This window comes from Homo sapiens, chromosome 5 (genome assembly GCF_000001405.40).
Source record: "Homo sapiens chromosome 5, GRCh38.p14 Primary Assembly".
NCBI lineage: Eukaryota > Metazoa > Chordata > Mammalia > Primates > Hominidae > Homo > Homo sapiens.
Genome location: NC_000005.10, coordinates 38,840,537 through 38,855,070, shown reverse-complemented (window position 1 = coordinate 38,855,070; position 14,534 = coordinate 38,840,537). Strand labels below are relative to the sequence as shown.

The window sequence follows — 14,534 nt, the reverse complement described above, 5'->3', positions numbered from 1 at the left end:
CACTGCTGCTCTGGCCGGGACAACCTTGGTGGTGTCTCCTCTGCAGCTCTGCTTCTGGCACAAGAAAGGCAGCCAGCTCTCTCATCCACCCGGCCGGCTTTCTCTCTCGACTACTGTCAGTGAGGAGCACTGCTACTTCCAACTTCCAGTGAGAAAAGGAAGTCAGGGAAGTGTGAAGCAGCAGAATTTAGAAAGGGAAAAAATACTTCCTACTTCATCCCCACTACTTGGTCCTTTCCCCAAATCTGTTCTTCATTTCTCTCTCTTTTTCAGGTCTCCATTATTCCCAACTAGACTATAAGCCACTTGCAGGCAGGCCTGGATCTTATTCCCCATTGTCTGTCAGTCCCAGAAGACAGTTGCTACTCAGTAAGTATTTGATAAATGAATAAAAATGGGTACTAATTTTCTCACATTCTCTCTTCTTTGCTTTCAATCTTTTTTTAATGAAAATAGATATCTGTTCAGGCCTTTCTACTTTTACTATTGTCAAATATTGCCTAATTTATAAATCTTGCATTGACTTTCCTTCTCTGCAGGGCAAAAGAAGGAAAGAAAAATTACCCATTGATTTTGTAGAACTTCTTAATCAAATCTTGTCTCTTTGCAAAATCTCATTCTCAGTAAAGATGCTTATGAAAATCCCTCAGAAAAATATCACATGCGTAATAAAACACAACTTTTTAAATGGATTTCAGTCTGCCCTTCCTCACCACACTTCTTGTTCTGTCATTACTGAAATATTCCTGGGAAGTTTCCTCACCACAAATAATGCCCATGAGAAGCAGCGTGATAAGAGTCATTCACGTCCCAAGAATGTGGGTGTGTTGACAAACTTCAAAACTGGCTGGGTGACCTGATGATGTCTTATGCAAATGCCATTTTAAAGGAAGAAGCCCTTTCTTGGAGGTCTCATGCCTGGGTGTATGCATTTATGAAAGAGTCCTGTGCAGCAGTACAAAGAGTTGAATGCTACTTCTTGCGGGTTCTGCATGATTCTCAGGCTCGGTTATCTTTTTTTTTTTTTTAAGAGTACTGCCAGTTATATATTTGAGAGCCCCTTTGAAGAGGCCTCTGCCTTACAGCATAGGGTTGATTACTTACAAGTGTTCACTCCAATTCCCTTCCTCCTCAAGGCTCCACAGTCAGAAGCTACAGCCATGGGAAGCTTTGAGTATTTCTCCTTTCATGTCCGTCCCCCACACCCCACCTCTTGAACCTGTCCACTGGATAATGGTTAAGTGTTTCCACCAGTGTTATAAGGTAAATCCTGATTTATAAAATTGAATTAGCTGATGAATAACTGATTTTTTAAAAACGCAACATTCAGTTCAAGATTTCTGCAATTTGTGACATCAGCTAGGATTAAAGCTGAGTCTCTAAAAGGTAAATGAAGCCAAATAAAAAAATGAAAAACTGGAATCCAAGGGTATTCTGAATCCAAAAAATATGTACATATGCTAAAGGTGATATTTTAAATCACTTTTGAGATCACAGAAATCATTCCCCAAAATGGTACTGGAACAATAGCACGCAGACTTGTGGGAAAAGGAAGCTGTAATATTAATAATTAAGTACCATGGACTCTGACATAAAATGCTTAGGGTCAAATTCCTACTTTGGTACTTAAAAACCATATGGCCAATGACAAGTGATTTAACCCCTCTAGGTTTCAATGTCCTTTTCTGTAGAAGGAGAAGAATAAAATAACCTACCTTATAGCATTGGCATGAGGATTAAATGGGCTTATGAGAACCTACATACAGCAAACCCAGTTAATGTTAATTTTATCATTAAGTCTATTGCCTCATTTCCTTCAGCAAAATAAATTCCAGATGAACAAAGATATCAATGCAAGGAATAAAACCATTAAAAGTACTAGATTAAATCATAGGTAAATAGTTTTATAATCTGTTAGGCATGATATAAAACTCATAAGCAAAAAAGATAAGGATGTAGGGGGAGGGTGAAGAATGATAAAGATAGCTATACTGATTAACAAACATTGAAACATTTTAGTGCTTTAAATGAAAACAATAGGGCCGGGCGCGGTGGCTCACGCCTGTAATCCCAGCACTTTGGGAGGCCGAGGCGGGCGGATCACGAGGTCAGGAGATCGAGACCATCCTGGCTAACACGGTGAAACCCCGTCTCTACTAAAAAATACAAAAAATTAGCCGGGCGTGGTGGTGGGCGCCTGTAATCCCAGCTACTCGGGAGGCTGAGGCAGGAGAATGGCATGAACCCAAGAGGCGGAGCTTGCAGTGAGCCAGGATAGCGCCACTGCAGTCCAGCTTGGGCGAAAGAGTGAGACTCCGTCTCAAAAAAAAAAAAAAAAAAAAAAAAAAAAAATGAAAACAATAGTTTCAATATGTATCACAAAGAGCTATCCCTCATATACAAAGAGTTCTTAGAAATAAGTAAAAACAGGCATACAACTCTGTAGAAAAACATGAATACATAATTCATGAAAAGAGGGAAATACAAATATCACCCTTCCCTACAAAAAACTTGGCAAGATCACTAAGAATTAAAGACAATTGTGTGTGTGTGTATGTCTGTGTATGTCTATGTAGTATCCAATTGGTAACGTTTAAAAAGGTCTTAATACCTCACATTGGTAAGAGTTTACAGAAATAAGCATTGTGACTCACTAATGATCAAAGCATACAACCTTACAGAGGTCCATTTGACCACATCTACTAAAATTCTATGTGTATTTCTCTTGATCCAGAAATCATTCTGTAATTCTATTGCTGAAATTTTGCCCTACAGATGATAGACAGAGTATTGCACATGTTGTACGCAAATGTGTTTAAAGACTGTTATAGCACTGTGTACATGAGGGAAAAAATAAAAATCCAAGAGCCTTTCAAAAAGAACAGAAAAATAATTATGGTGCATTTCTACAAAGGAACAACATGCAACTGTTAAAAAGAATGAACTAGATCCATGCACTGACATGGAAAAATATTCTAAAATATTGAGTGAATGTATTAGTTTGTTTTCACACTGCTGATAAAGACATACCAGAGACTGGGTGATTTACAAAAGAAAGAGGTTTAATGGACTCACAGTTCCACGTGGTTGGGGAGGCCTCACAGTCATGGTGGAAGGAGAAAGGCACATTTCACATGGTGGCAGACAAGAGAAGAATGAGAGCCAAGTGAAAGTGGTTTCCCCTTATAAAACCATCAGATCTCGTGAGACTTATTCTCTACCACGAGAACAGTATGGGGGAAACTGCCCCCATGATTCCGTTATCTCGTACTGGGTTCCTCCCACAACATGAGGGAATTATGGGAGCTACAGTTCAAGATGAGATTTGGGTGGGGACACAGCCAAACCACATCAGTGAATAAGTCAGTTTCAAAACAGTATATACCTAAGAACATCTCTGAAAGAGAACTGTGGCAGTGTGCAGCTGTGCCCCTCAGTGCTCCCTTCAAGAGAGCGTAGATGACTGACAGCCTTCAGACACTGCCCCTTCAGATCTGTGGAAGATTCACACACCCCAGGCTGCTCCCACCCAATGGCTGCAGCTGGAAGCAACTCCTTCCCACCTTCCTTCCTCCCCATCTCCTTCCACAGGCATCACACCTGCACTGGGTCTGAAGGCTCTGTGCCTACAGTTACTCCCTTTCCCCTTACAAGTCCTTCCCCCAGTAAATCTCTTGCACATGTGTTTCTGGCTTGCTCTCTTCTACTTGAGGGATCCAAACCAGCCCCAAAGACACACCCACTTACTAAGTTATAAATTTAGAGCTGAGATGGAGGGAGGGAGGTGGGCAGAATAAGAGAAATTATAGATAACTCACTTTAAGTTATACAGTTCTGCAACATAAAGCATTCCTTAAAACGTGTGTGTGTGCATGTTTTAAACATATTAAGCTCAGTCTTGTGCAAGTGGCAATTTCCTTATTTCCACACTTGAAACCATATATCCCAACATGATTAAACTAGTTGACAGTGTTTGTGTTTCCAGTCCAACCCATGGTATTGAACAGACTTGAAAAAGGTTGGCAGTTTTTACCTACTGGATCAGCCTGGGAGGATGCCGTGTTTTTCTGTACAGAAAATGTAACCTCTTAGGTTCTGAGAGAGTGTAGATACTTTAATGATCTATTTCCAAATGCAAAAAGTAACCAGTGTCCTGAGTAGAAAAATCATACTACCATCCCCGGCTGACAGACAGACACACTGAAGTATATATATGAAGTAAATTTGCTCAAAATCCCCCATTAGGGAGATTGAAAGTAGAAAGAGGTGACCAAGAAATACCACGGTGTATGAAAAATTTACTCACAAGAAAGCGTAACTTCTGTTGATGCACATCTTCTCAAAAGCTGGCATTACACATGAACAATGAAACCTCAATCACTCTTTTCTGAGAATTATTTTGTCTTACATTTTTCCAAGTGTTCTTTATGTCTTACATTTTTCTATTTGCAGAAGCCACTTACAATTGTGCTTTTCTTTAGTTGACATTAAATGTCATATTCAGGCTGCATATATTTTATATGACTGTCTTCATCTTAAGTCAACAGTTTAAAATAATCCAGATAGTTAATTGCCTCAATGACTCTAGATCTAAGAACAGAGCTAGGTATTCTATTTAGCGATCTCACCAACCCTCTTTCTTTTAACAAAAATAAAGGAAGAGAGGGAGAGAAGAAGGAAGAAAGGAAAACAACTATAATTTAGTTCTTTAGCATGTAATTTTAAAAGAAATCAATTTAAAAATGCTTTCAATCATATTCATTACAAATAGGAAGTACTATCACTAGCAGCATAAATTTAAATAGTTGTACAAGACTGTACACCCAAATGTGGACAAAGGACCAGCAGTATTGACATCACCTGGTAGCTTGTCAGAAATGCAAAATCTCAGGCCAGACCTTAGACCTCTTGAATCTGCATTTAAATAATATCCTCAGGTGATTCATATGCACATTCAAGTTTGAGAAACACTACTATATTTAAAATATATGATATATTTTTGTCTCTTAGGATACTACCAATAAATAAAGGAAATATTTACTGGTTCCTATTACCAATAGGGCACTCTGCAAAACCATGAGTAGGATATAAATATGAAAAAGATCCCAGCTAGCATGTATAAGATACTAACTCTCTACAAGGTGCTTTGCTAAGTGACGTACATGCATTTATTAATTGAATCCTCACAACAGCGCTAAGAAAAGGATTATATTATTATTCCCATTCACAGAGGAGGAAATTAAGGATAAGAAAGTTGACAAGTAATTTATCCAAACTGACCCAGTTAATCTGATGTGTAGCCAATATTTGAAATCAGATAAGTCATTAACCAAAGTTCACATGACACAGTTTCCTTAAAGCTTGGAGCTCATACCAAAGTGGACATTAAAGCATTAAAAATTGCTAACAATTATAAACTCAATAAAATCTTAATTAAAAATAGGATTTTATTAAACTTGACAGGCTATTTGTAAAGAGAAAATGTATGTGATTTATAAAAAAAGTTGTTTTAAAAAGCACAAATATATACCACAAGATTTTCAAAAACACTATAAAGCTACAGTAGTTAACTCAGAGTAATATTGGTTTAGGGAAAAACAAACAAAAAAAAAGATCAATGAAACAGAATAGAATCCTGACACAGACCCTTTTACAAACAGGAATTTATTTAATGATAAAAACAGAATTTCAAATGAGTTGGAAAAAAGATGAATTATTAAATAAATGCTATTGGATCAGCTGTCTAAAACTTTACAAAAATATTAAGTTACATCGTTACCTTCCACTTCGTATCTATCAAGTGGAAAAAGGGGCAAACCCTTTGACACAGGAATACCTCTCCTCAGATTCTCTTCCACAGAAATACTCACACTTGAGCAGGAAGATGAATGTGTGATCTGCTCTGAAGCAACGTTGCTAATGCTGAATGTCCATCAATATAGGAAAGGATGGATAAATTACATTCTATTTCTACTTTAGGATAACATGTAGCTGGCCGGGCGCAGTGGCTCACGCCTGTAATCCTAGCACTGTGGGAGGCCAAGGCAGGTGGACTGCTTGAACCCAGGAGTTCAAGACCAGTCTGGGCATCATGGAGAGACCCAATCTTTACAAAAAATACAAAAAAAAAAAAGTCAGGTGTGGTGTCATGTGCCTGTAGTTCCAGCTTCTCAGGAGGCTGAGGTGGGAGGATCACTTGAGCCCAGAAGGTCGAGGCTGCAGTGAGCCATGATCATGACACTGCACTTCTGCCTGTGTGACAGAGTGAGACCATCTCACACACACACAAAAAGAATAACACGTAGCCATTAACAAAAGAGGTATCTAGAGACAATGGAAAGATCTCTAAGACTTGGAAAGTGAAAAAGCAAGCTGTACAATAAGTATAGTAAGATAATTTGCATATTTAAAACATATGTATATGTATGTATTATGTAAAACTATAGAAAAGAAAAACAAGCCTTAGAATGGTATTATCAAACTTAACCTTCCCTCTTCTGAGTGGGAGGAGGGAGGATGGTGATGGCACGTCTACATTTCACTTCACTTCTATATTGAGTGAGAATGAGTTGTTATTATTTGTATTATTTTTAAAACACAAAAATAGAATACAACGTGGAGTGCACAAATGCAGAGCGACCAGTACAACTAAAATGAGGAGGGAAGGAAGGCTATGAAGCCACCAACACAGCTGTTGGAAAAGAAATTCTCTCTTCATGTAGCTACAAAGAAGCCTGCTTGGAGGAGGGGATTTCTCCAGCAAGGCCATGATATTCTATTTGTTTTGGTTTGGGTTTTTTTCCCCCCATTTTACACATTTTTTAAGCAATCAAGAAGGATTTTCTCCCCCAGCGAAAGGAGGGCCAAGGCTCACAGTTCCTGTAAGTGAGCAAGACCACACTCACTAAGATTCTCTTCTACTGCAGCCAATGAATGCCCCAGTCCTTTCCCACAAGGAAAATACACACCTTCTTCTTGTTAAATACAGTACCACTGATTCCCCTTTGAAAACCGTAACAGTTCTCCTGATTCGGTTTTGTCCTCAGGACAAAAGGGTTACAAAAACATGAGAGATCCAGGAACACCTCTGCATGTGTTCCTGGTCTGTTCAGGTTAAAGAAAAGGGTAGAGGGGGAAAGAACCAGTGTTTATGTGTTCTCCCCAATGCGGCTCGGGTCCCTGCGGAAGAAACACCCAAGACCAGCCTTTTTCTCTCAAAGCCACCTTTGATACAAAAGGCTTAGCCACACCTGCTGGGACAAACGGGAACTGGGACCAAGATGTAAGTCACAAGGAGGCAATTTACAGCAGAGAACTAGCTCTTCCTACAATAAAATGTGAGGTGGTGAGCTTCCTGCCACTGGAGGCACTGAACAAATGCTACGGGGAAAACAAACTGAGTATTTCCTGAAGATTCTGAATAGAAGGCTGTGTTTGGAGTTTGATGCTTTGAAAGCTCAAGAAATGATTCTCAGACACAGCGGAGTTTGGGGACATCAAGGGCTCTGAGTGCATTTTAAAGCAGCCCAGGAGAGAGACAAAGCAAGACCATAATGAAACACCCCACCCAGTCTTAGAGTTTGAGCTACAGCACGGTGATCATGAGCAGACTCCAAACCCAAATCCTGATACTGTCACCTGCTAGCTGTGTAACCCTAGAAAAGTTACAAAACCTCTTTGGGCCTCAGTTTCCTCAATAAAATATAATAAAAAACTAGTACCCGCCTCACCCGTGAAGCTTAAATGAGCTAGCATATGTCAAGTGCTTAGAATAGGGGCTGGTTCACAGTAAGTATGAACCATTATTATTTGCAGACAAGGAAACTAAGAGGTGATAAGTAGTTTGACCCATGTTCCAAAGTCAGTTTTAATCTTGGGAATAAAACCTAAAAATTTCTTTCTCCTCCATCAGAATTCCTTCTAGCTCAAACTAAGTATCCTACATTCAATTCTATCTTCTCTGCCTTCATAGACCCTTCCATTTACTTCTCTTGAATATCTTGTTCCCAAAGTGTTTTCAAGGCAGGTCTGTTACCAAGCCACTCCATCAGCAGCACCTAGCACTGTGCCTCCCGCAGCAAGGCAGGCAGGATGGATGGACGGATGCAGGCATGCATGGGTAGGTGGATGAAGGGCAGATGAAGAACTATCGAGAAAGGAATCGCGGTGTCAGGGGTAAAGCCCTGGCCTGCGAGAGCCGGGCTCGGATTTCAGTGCCCTCACAGCTAGCCATATGGCCTTGGACAAGTTACTGAACCCCTCCGTGCCTAGGTTTCCAGAATGTAGAGGGCCACTTCCACTCAAGTGGCTGGAGAAGAAGGTAAGCGCCCCGGACGGACGCTATTGCAGAGTCGCCCGGGGATTCCTCTCTCCACCTGTGCTTGAGCTCCTCCCGCTTCTACGCTAGGGACCAGGTGGGAGAGATACACGGATTCCCAGAAAAATGGCTCTCTCAGGTGGGAGTCAAGGGTTACGAGAGGAGAGGTAGGGGAAGCAATGAACTCCTCCACACGATGTGTTGGGAGAGAGGAAAGAGGGATTCAAGTGGGAATTTTCCACTCAACAAACATTCCACCATCATTTGAGAAAAAGGCGCTGGGATGGTGAATTTCAAACAGTCTGAGAAATGGGCGACTCGGCACTGTGCGGCCTGTAAGGAATGAATCATTTAGTTTTCACCCACCAGGTAGGCAGGCCGGGGGCGAGGACCCTCCGAGCGCCGTCCGAGCGCAGGTGGTAGCCCAGCCAAGCAAACGCTGGGCAGAGGCGGCACCGAGGAGGGGAACGGGCTGCTGCACTCCCGGTCGCGTCCAGCCGGGATGGGCTGCGAAGTTGTCGGATTCTTTCCCGCACAGCACGGGGCTCGCCCGTCGGAAAAGCCACCGAGGGCGGCGCAGCGGCAGGGCGCGAGCAGAGCGGGGACGGGCGGGTCGGGGGTACTCACGCCGCGGGCGAAGGGCTCCACGAGCCGGGCCGAGTCCTCGGCGGCGCGTGGGGCGCGGGTGCGGGCTCCGGGGCGGACGTGCAGAGGCGGCCCGGGCCGGGGCTATGAATCAGCTGCGGGGCAAGCGCGGAGGGGCGGGAGTTACTGGAAAACCGCGGGGGAGGGCAGAGGGGTGAGGTCTTTTGCAATTTCCCGTCTTGCTGCGCACTCTTGGCACTCCTGGGACCCACAGGAATTCCCTCCCTTCAGTCCCGGGGGGAGGCGGCCGCGATCCTGGGGGAGGCGCAGCCTCACAACCCGGACTTTGCGGGCGGGCGGGCACTGGTGAGAAGAGGAAGTGGGAGAGGCCTGGGAAGGAAACTTGGAAACCGAAAACTCGGCGGCCGAGGCTCCGTGCCCCGCGCGCAGCGCTGCTCCTGCCCCGGCCAAGGACGCACGGGCCAGCCGGCGGAACCAGAGGTAAGCCGAGTGACCGATGAGGCCTGGGGCTGTGTATCCCACAGGGGCACTTGTCATCCCAACCCAGAGGCCAAACCCGTGAGATCCCCGTCCGAAAATCTTCAGGCAAGAGAAGTCCTTTAACTAAATTTTGGCCGTGTTTCCATTTGGCGTCCAGAGCAACGAAAACGTGTTTGAACCGAATCAAACGGTCCCCATTTTTCCCCTACTCGCGTTCTATCCAGAAACGCCCTGTCCGACAAAGTTTCTTCGGCTACAACAGTCCCGAAACCTTTATTTCCCAATGCTACGACATGCTACACATGGTTTACTTTTCCCCTTAAAAATGCCATCCAATCTTCAACCTTTTTTTTTTTTTTTTTTTGAGACGGCATCTCACTGTGTCACCCAGGCTGGAGTGCAGTGGCGCGATCTCGGCTCACTGTAAGCTCCGCCTCCCGGGTTCACACCATTCTCCTGCCTCAGCCTCCCTAGTAGCTGGGACTACAGACGACCGCCACCACGCCTGGCTAATTTTTCTATGTTTAGTAGAGACGGGGTTTCACCGTGTTAGCCAGGATGGTCTCGATCTCCTGACCTCGTGATCCGCCCGCCTCAGCCTCCCAAAGTGCTGGGATTACAGGCGTCAGCCACTGCGCCCGGCCAAAAATGCCATCCAATCTTTACCGTGTCTGGGCCTTTGAAAGGTGCATTTCACCTCTCTTAGAGGATAACAGGAGCCTTCCGAGGCAGCCTCGGACCGGGAGCTCCCATAGCCTCGCCTGTCTGGATGCCTGACAAATCAGCAGGCAAGGGGCCTTGCTCCAGATCAGCTGAGCCTAGTTTGGTTTGAGTTTGGGGACCCTGGAAAGTATCACAAAAGCAAGGTTGTAGGAGGGGGGTGGGGGAGGGAACCAAGAGTGATCAACAAGTATCGACCATAAACATATCTTAGAATCCTATATTGAATTGACTGGATGACTCAAAATAATGTCAGAATTATTTTAAAATGTTACTTTTGTGTTTGTTCACATATCTGGCTCCTCCCCAATGTCATCCCAAGGAAAGCTGAGAGTCCTTTTGTTTTTTTATTTTTCCTAAAACAAAGGCCTAAAGGCCCTAATACACTTAATACCTAATGGGGCCACAAAGACCATGATGCATAGTAAATATTTGATGATAATAAAATGTATTTTTGTCTCAATAAATGTATGGTCCTTTGCCACACCTCTCATTACTTGAAGAGTTTTAAAGAGTCCATTAGTTTAGCCATCTGCATGGTTATGGAAACTGCCAAGCCCAAGAGTTGGAAAGTCTTTATGATTTTATATTTTACTGAGAAAAAAAATTATTCTTTATAGAAACAGTTAAAAGGGATCTCTCTTCTAGCAAATGAGATGTCAAATAAAAATATTCAGCCCAGTATGAATTTCTAAAAAGTGAGGCTTATTTTGGGCTCCTATTGCAATTGAAGGAGACTGAAGTGTAAAAATTTGGTGCCCACATATAATTTATCTGTTTTTGCACCATTCTAATTTCTTAAATTTATACGTTATTCTAGAATCTAGATGCAGTAGCACCATATAAATTCGCGATTATACCCTTAACAGTGGGTGCACTGGGTCCATAAAGTCAGATCCACCCAAAACCTCCAAATATCAGTTTATTTGGAAATAATGTTTTTGCAGCTTTAATCAAGTTAACCTGAGGTCATATAAGATTAATCCAGTGTCTGCTGTACTTCTGAAAAGGGGGGAATTTGGACACAGACACCCAGAAAGAACACTGTGTGACCACTGAGACAGATCCTGCTTATGCTGACTCAAGCCAAGGAATGGCAAGGTTGCTGACCACCACCAGAAGCTAGGAGAGAGGAACGGAACAGGCTCCCTTTGAACCCCTAAGAAGAAGCTAGCCCTGCCAACATCTTCATTTCAGACTTCTGGCCTCCAGATTGAGAATACATTTCTGTTGTTTTAAGCCACCAAGTTTGTGGTAATGTGTTATGGCAGCCTTAGGAAACTGATACATAGGTTATGTTCCATAAGTTAGTTTTAAACAATTATCCTGAAAATAACTAATAGGAAAAAGATGAAAAATACCAATGGCTTATTAAGCTAAGAGCTAAAATATCCATCCTTGCTTAGTTTTGATAAGATTGTGTGGCCAAGGCACATATTATTCTGCTTCGTTAAACACTCTTTTTATTTTTTTATTTGTGTGTGTGTTTTTATTTTTAATTTATTTATTTATTTATTTATTTAGAGACGGAGTCTTGCTCTGTCACACAGGCTGGAGTGCAGTGGCACGATCTCAGCTCACTGCATGCTCCGCCTCCTGGGTTCACACCATTCTGCCTCAGCCTCCCGAGGAGCTGGAACTACAGGCGCCGGCTACCACGCCCAGCTAATTTTTTTGTATTTTTAGTAGAGACTGGGTTTCACCGTGTTAGCCAGGGTGGCCTCAATCTCCTGACCTCGTGATCCTCCTGCCTTGGCCTCCCAAAGTGCTGGGATTACAGGCGTGAGCCACCGCGCCCGGCCCATTAAACACTCTTTCTTGACGTTCTCTCTTCCTTTTGATTTCAGTAGCAATACTCTCTCCATTCTTCTTTCATTTCCCTGACTTCCTCCTCCCTCATATTTTTGGACTTCTTGTTCTCCACTTGCCCCCTACATGTTGGTGTTTCCCAGGGCCCCAGGGCCCCCTGAATAATCATATTCACATCCAGGATTTCAATGATCACTTGTGCCTTGATGGCTCTCAGCTCTTCCTTTCCATTGCAATGATTTCATCTGCACTCCAGACAGTACTTTGAAATTAGTATGCCCGAATTCAAACTTCAGTTATGCTCACTTGATTTTATTATACTAAGTGAATGGTCCAGCCTTTAACCTTTACTAAGTTAATGGGCCAGCCTTCATTTAGTGTCCTCTGGACACTGAAGTTAAAACCCTGGGAATGATTCTCGATCCATCCTCTTTCATCTTCCATCTTCCATCAGAAAGTCTCATATGTATAACTATTATGGAGGAGGGATTAGTGGAATGTATTGCCAACCTATCTAACTTCTCAGAGGAAAAATAGTTCTATAACTGTCAGGAACATTATATTTGTCTATATCTCTATATCTATGTTTACATACATCTATGAAATCAGCTATGTAAATTGTGAAATATAATTATGATTCTATTTATTCCACTACTGTAAATAGCTATAATTACAAGATGGCAGCATTTTGTTACCAACTGATGGAATTTGAAGGTATCGGGGATTTTGTGAAGAAAGTGACTTCATCACCTAAGCAGTGGATAATGGTTTACAATTACCCTCATCGACAAGTTCTGTAGAATTCTGTTTTGTTGGCATATTATCACATTTGACTCTTTTTAAATGAGACAGGGTCTGTGTCACCCAGGCTGGAATGCAGTGGTGCAGTCTCGGCTCGCTGCAACCTCCGCCTCCTGGGCTCAAGCAATCCTCCCACCTCAGTCCTCCAAGCAGCTGGGACTACAGGCACGCGCCACCATGCTTGGCTAATTTTTGTATGTTTTATAGAGACAGGGTTTTGCCATGTTCTCCAGGCTGGTCTCGAACTCCTAGGCTCAAGTGATTTACCCACCTCAGACTCCCAGATTTCTGGGATTATAGATGTGAGCCACAGTGCCCAGCTGACATTGACATCTTAAAGATTCACTTTTAGGCCTTAACGCGTGCCTCTGTGATTATTATTGGTGGTGATATTGGCCTTATTTCTAAAAAAAAGTTATTGGAAATTAAAATTATTTTGTGGAAATAATTATTTTGTGGAAAGCTAAACAGGTCTTCCAAAAAAAAATTTAATCTGAAATTTATCATAAAGCTTGATTAATTAAAGGACATCTGTTACTGAACTGAACTGGGTCCATTTGCCCACTGTGCAATGGAAAGCCAAACACCAAAACACTCGGTTTTCATAGCATGAAAAATTTATTGCAAGGCTACCAAGCAAGGACACGGGTCTGGCTCAAATCTGTGTCCCCACCTGGCACTTGGGTCAGGTTTTATAGCCAGAGGGTAACAAGGCATGACCTGATTGCATCTTGCAATAAGGTGAGGCTGGGAGGCACCATCTGACTAGATCCTGCCATGAGGTGACACCAGGGCGCAATCTCATTGGATCCTGGATCCTGCCATGTGGTGTCCACTTCTTAATTTAGTGATCCAAGCATTTAGGTTCTGCCCATGGTTGCATTCTTAGTTCATCTGAGCCTCCTCAAGTTACATGACCTTCAACCTGGGGGTCCATGGCAACTAAAAAACAACTCACAGCTTCGCTATATAAATGGTGAACCATAAAGTTGAACCAGCTAATTAACACAGGAACAGAAAACCAAACACTGCATATTCTTATTAGTGGGAGCTAAACATTGAATACACATGGACACAAAGATGGAACAATAGACACCAAAGCCTACTGGAGGGAGGAGGGTGAGGATTGAAAAACTACCTATCAGGTGCTATGCTTATTACCTAGGTAATGAAATAATCTGTACACCAATCCCCTCCTTGACACACAACTTACCCACATAACAAACCTGCACATCTACCCCCTGAACCTAAAATAAAAATTGGAAGAAAAAAAAAAAGTTGAACCAGACTGGTCTGGTGCAGTTACACATCTAACACTTCTAAATATCCAAAAAAGTGGCACTGCAATGACAAAGCAAGATGTTGAGCGTAAGAAGACTATGTGGGACTTTCTCATTTTATCATTTTAGGAATTCCCTATAATTACTTAATGATGAATTGCTTTTCTTTCAAAATCTCTTAAGTGATGAATAATATTATCCACAATAATTCTACAGGAATTCCTTGATTAAACTAGATATTATCTGAAAATTGATTGATTGATTGATGGATGGATTTTGCACATTCCACCCTCTTCCAGATGTTGTAATTGTGCTCACACCTTCTTCCAGAAGTCATCAGAAACCAGACAATGAGGAGAACCTCCCTGGATCTTTTACTTTTTTTCCCTCAGGGACTTTAGGGAAAATATTGAATATTGATAGCTGCTTTTATTCTCTTGGCCTGTGGTTATGGCACTTACTAAATTTGAGTGCAGTTGTTAATGCTAAAGTTTAGAACATTAATACAGTGAGAGAGAAAT

The 14,534-nt window shown here is 42.4% G+C and overlaps 1 protein-coding gene and 1 long non-coding RNA gene across 19 annotated transcripts in view; one reads left to right on the top strand and one right to left on the bottom strand.

Annotated features, from left to right (window-relative positions):
• Positions 1-9,059, bottom strand: part of OSMR (oncostatin M receptor) — a 99,568-nt gene extending 90,509 nt beyond the window's left edge. For 9 of the 16 annotated variants that reach the window (XR_925661.1, XR_007058659.1, XM_011514161.3 and 6 more), the window contains exon 1: positions 8,684-9,059. The gene's annotated coding sequence lies outside the window, so the exon portion shown is untranslated. The remainder of the gene's footprint in view (positions 1-8,683) is intronic. The other 7 variants (XR_007058660.1, XM_047417872.1, NM_001323506.2 and 4 more) reach the window with 1 other exon arrangement.
• OSMR-DT (OSMR divergent transcript) overlaps positions 9,242-14,534 on the top strand; it is a 152,617-nt gene continuing 147,324 nt past the window's right edge. For 2 of the 3 annotated variants that reach the window (NR_171676.1, NR_171677.1), the window contains exon 1: positions 9,302-9,403. This is a non-coding gene — a long non-coding RNA (OSMR divergent transcript). Of the gene's footprint in view, positions 9,404-14,534 lie in introns of all 3 variants that reach the window. The other variant, NR_109951.1, reaches the window with a different exon arrangement.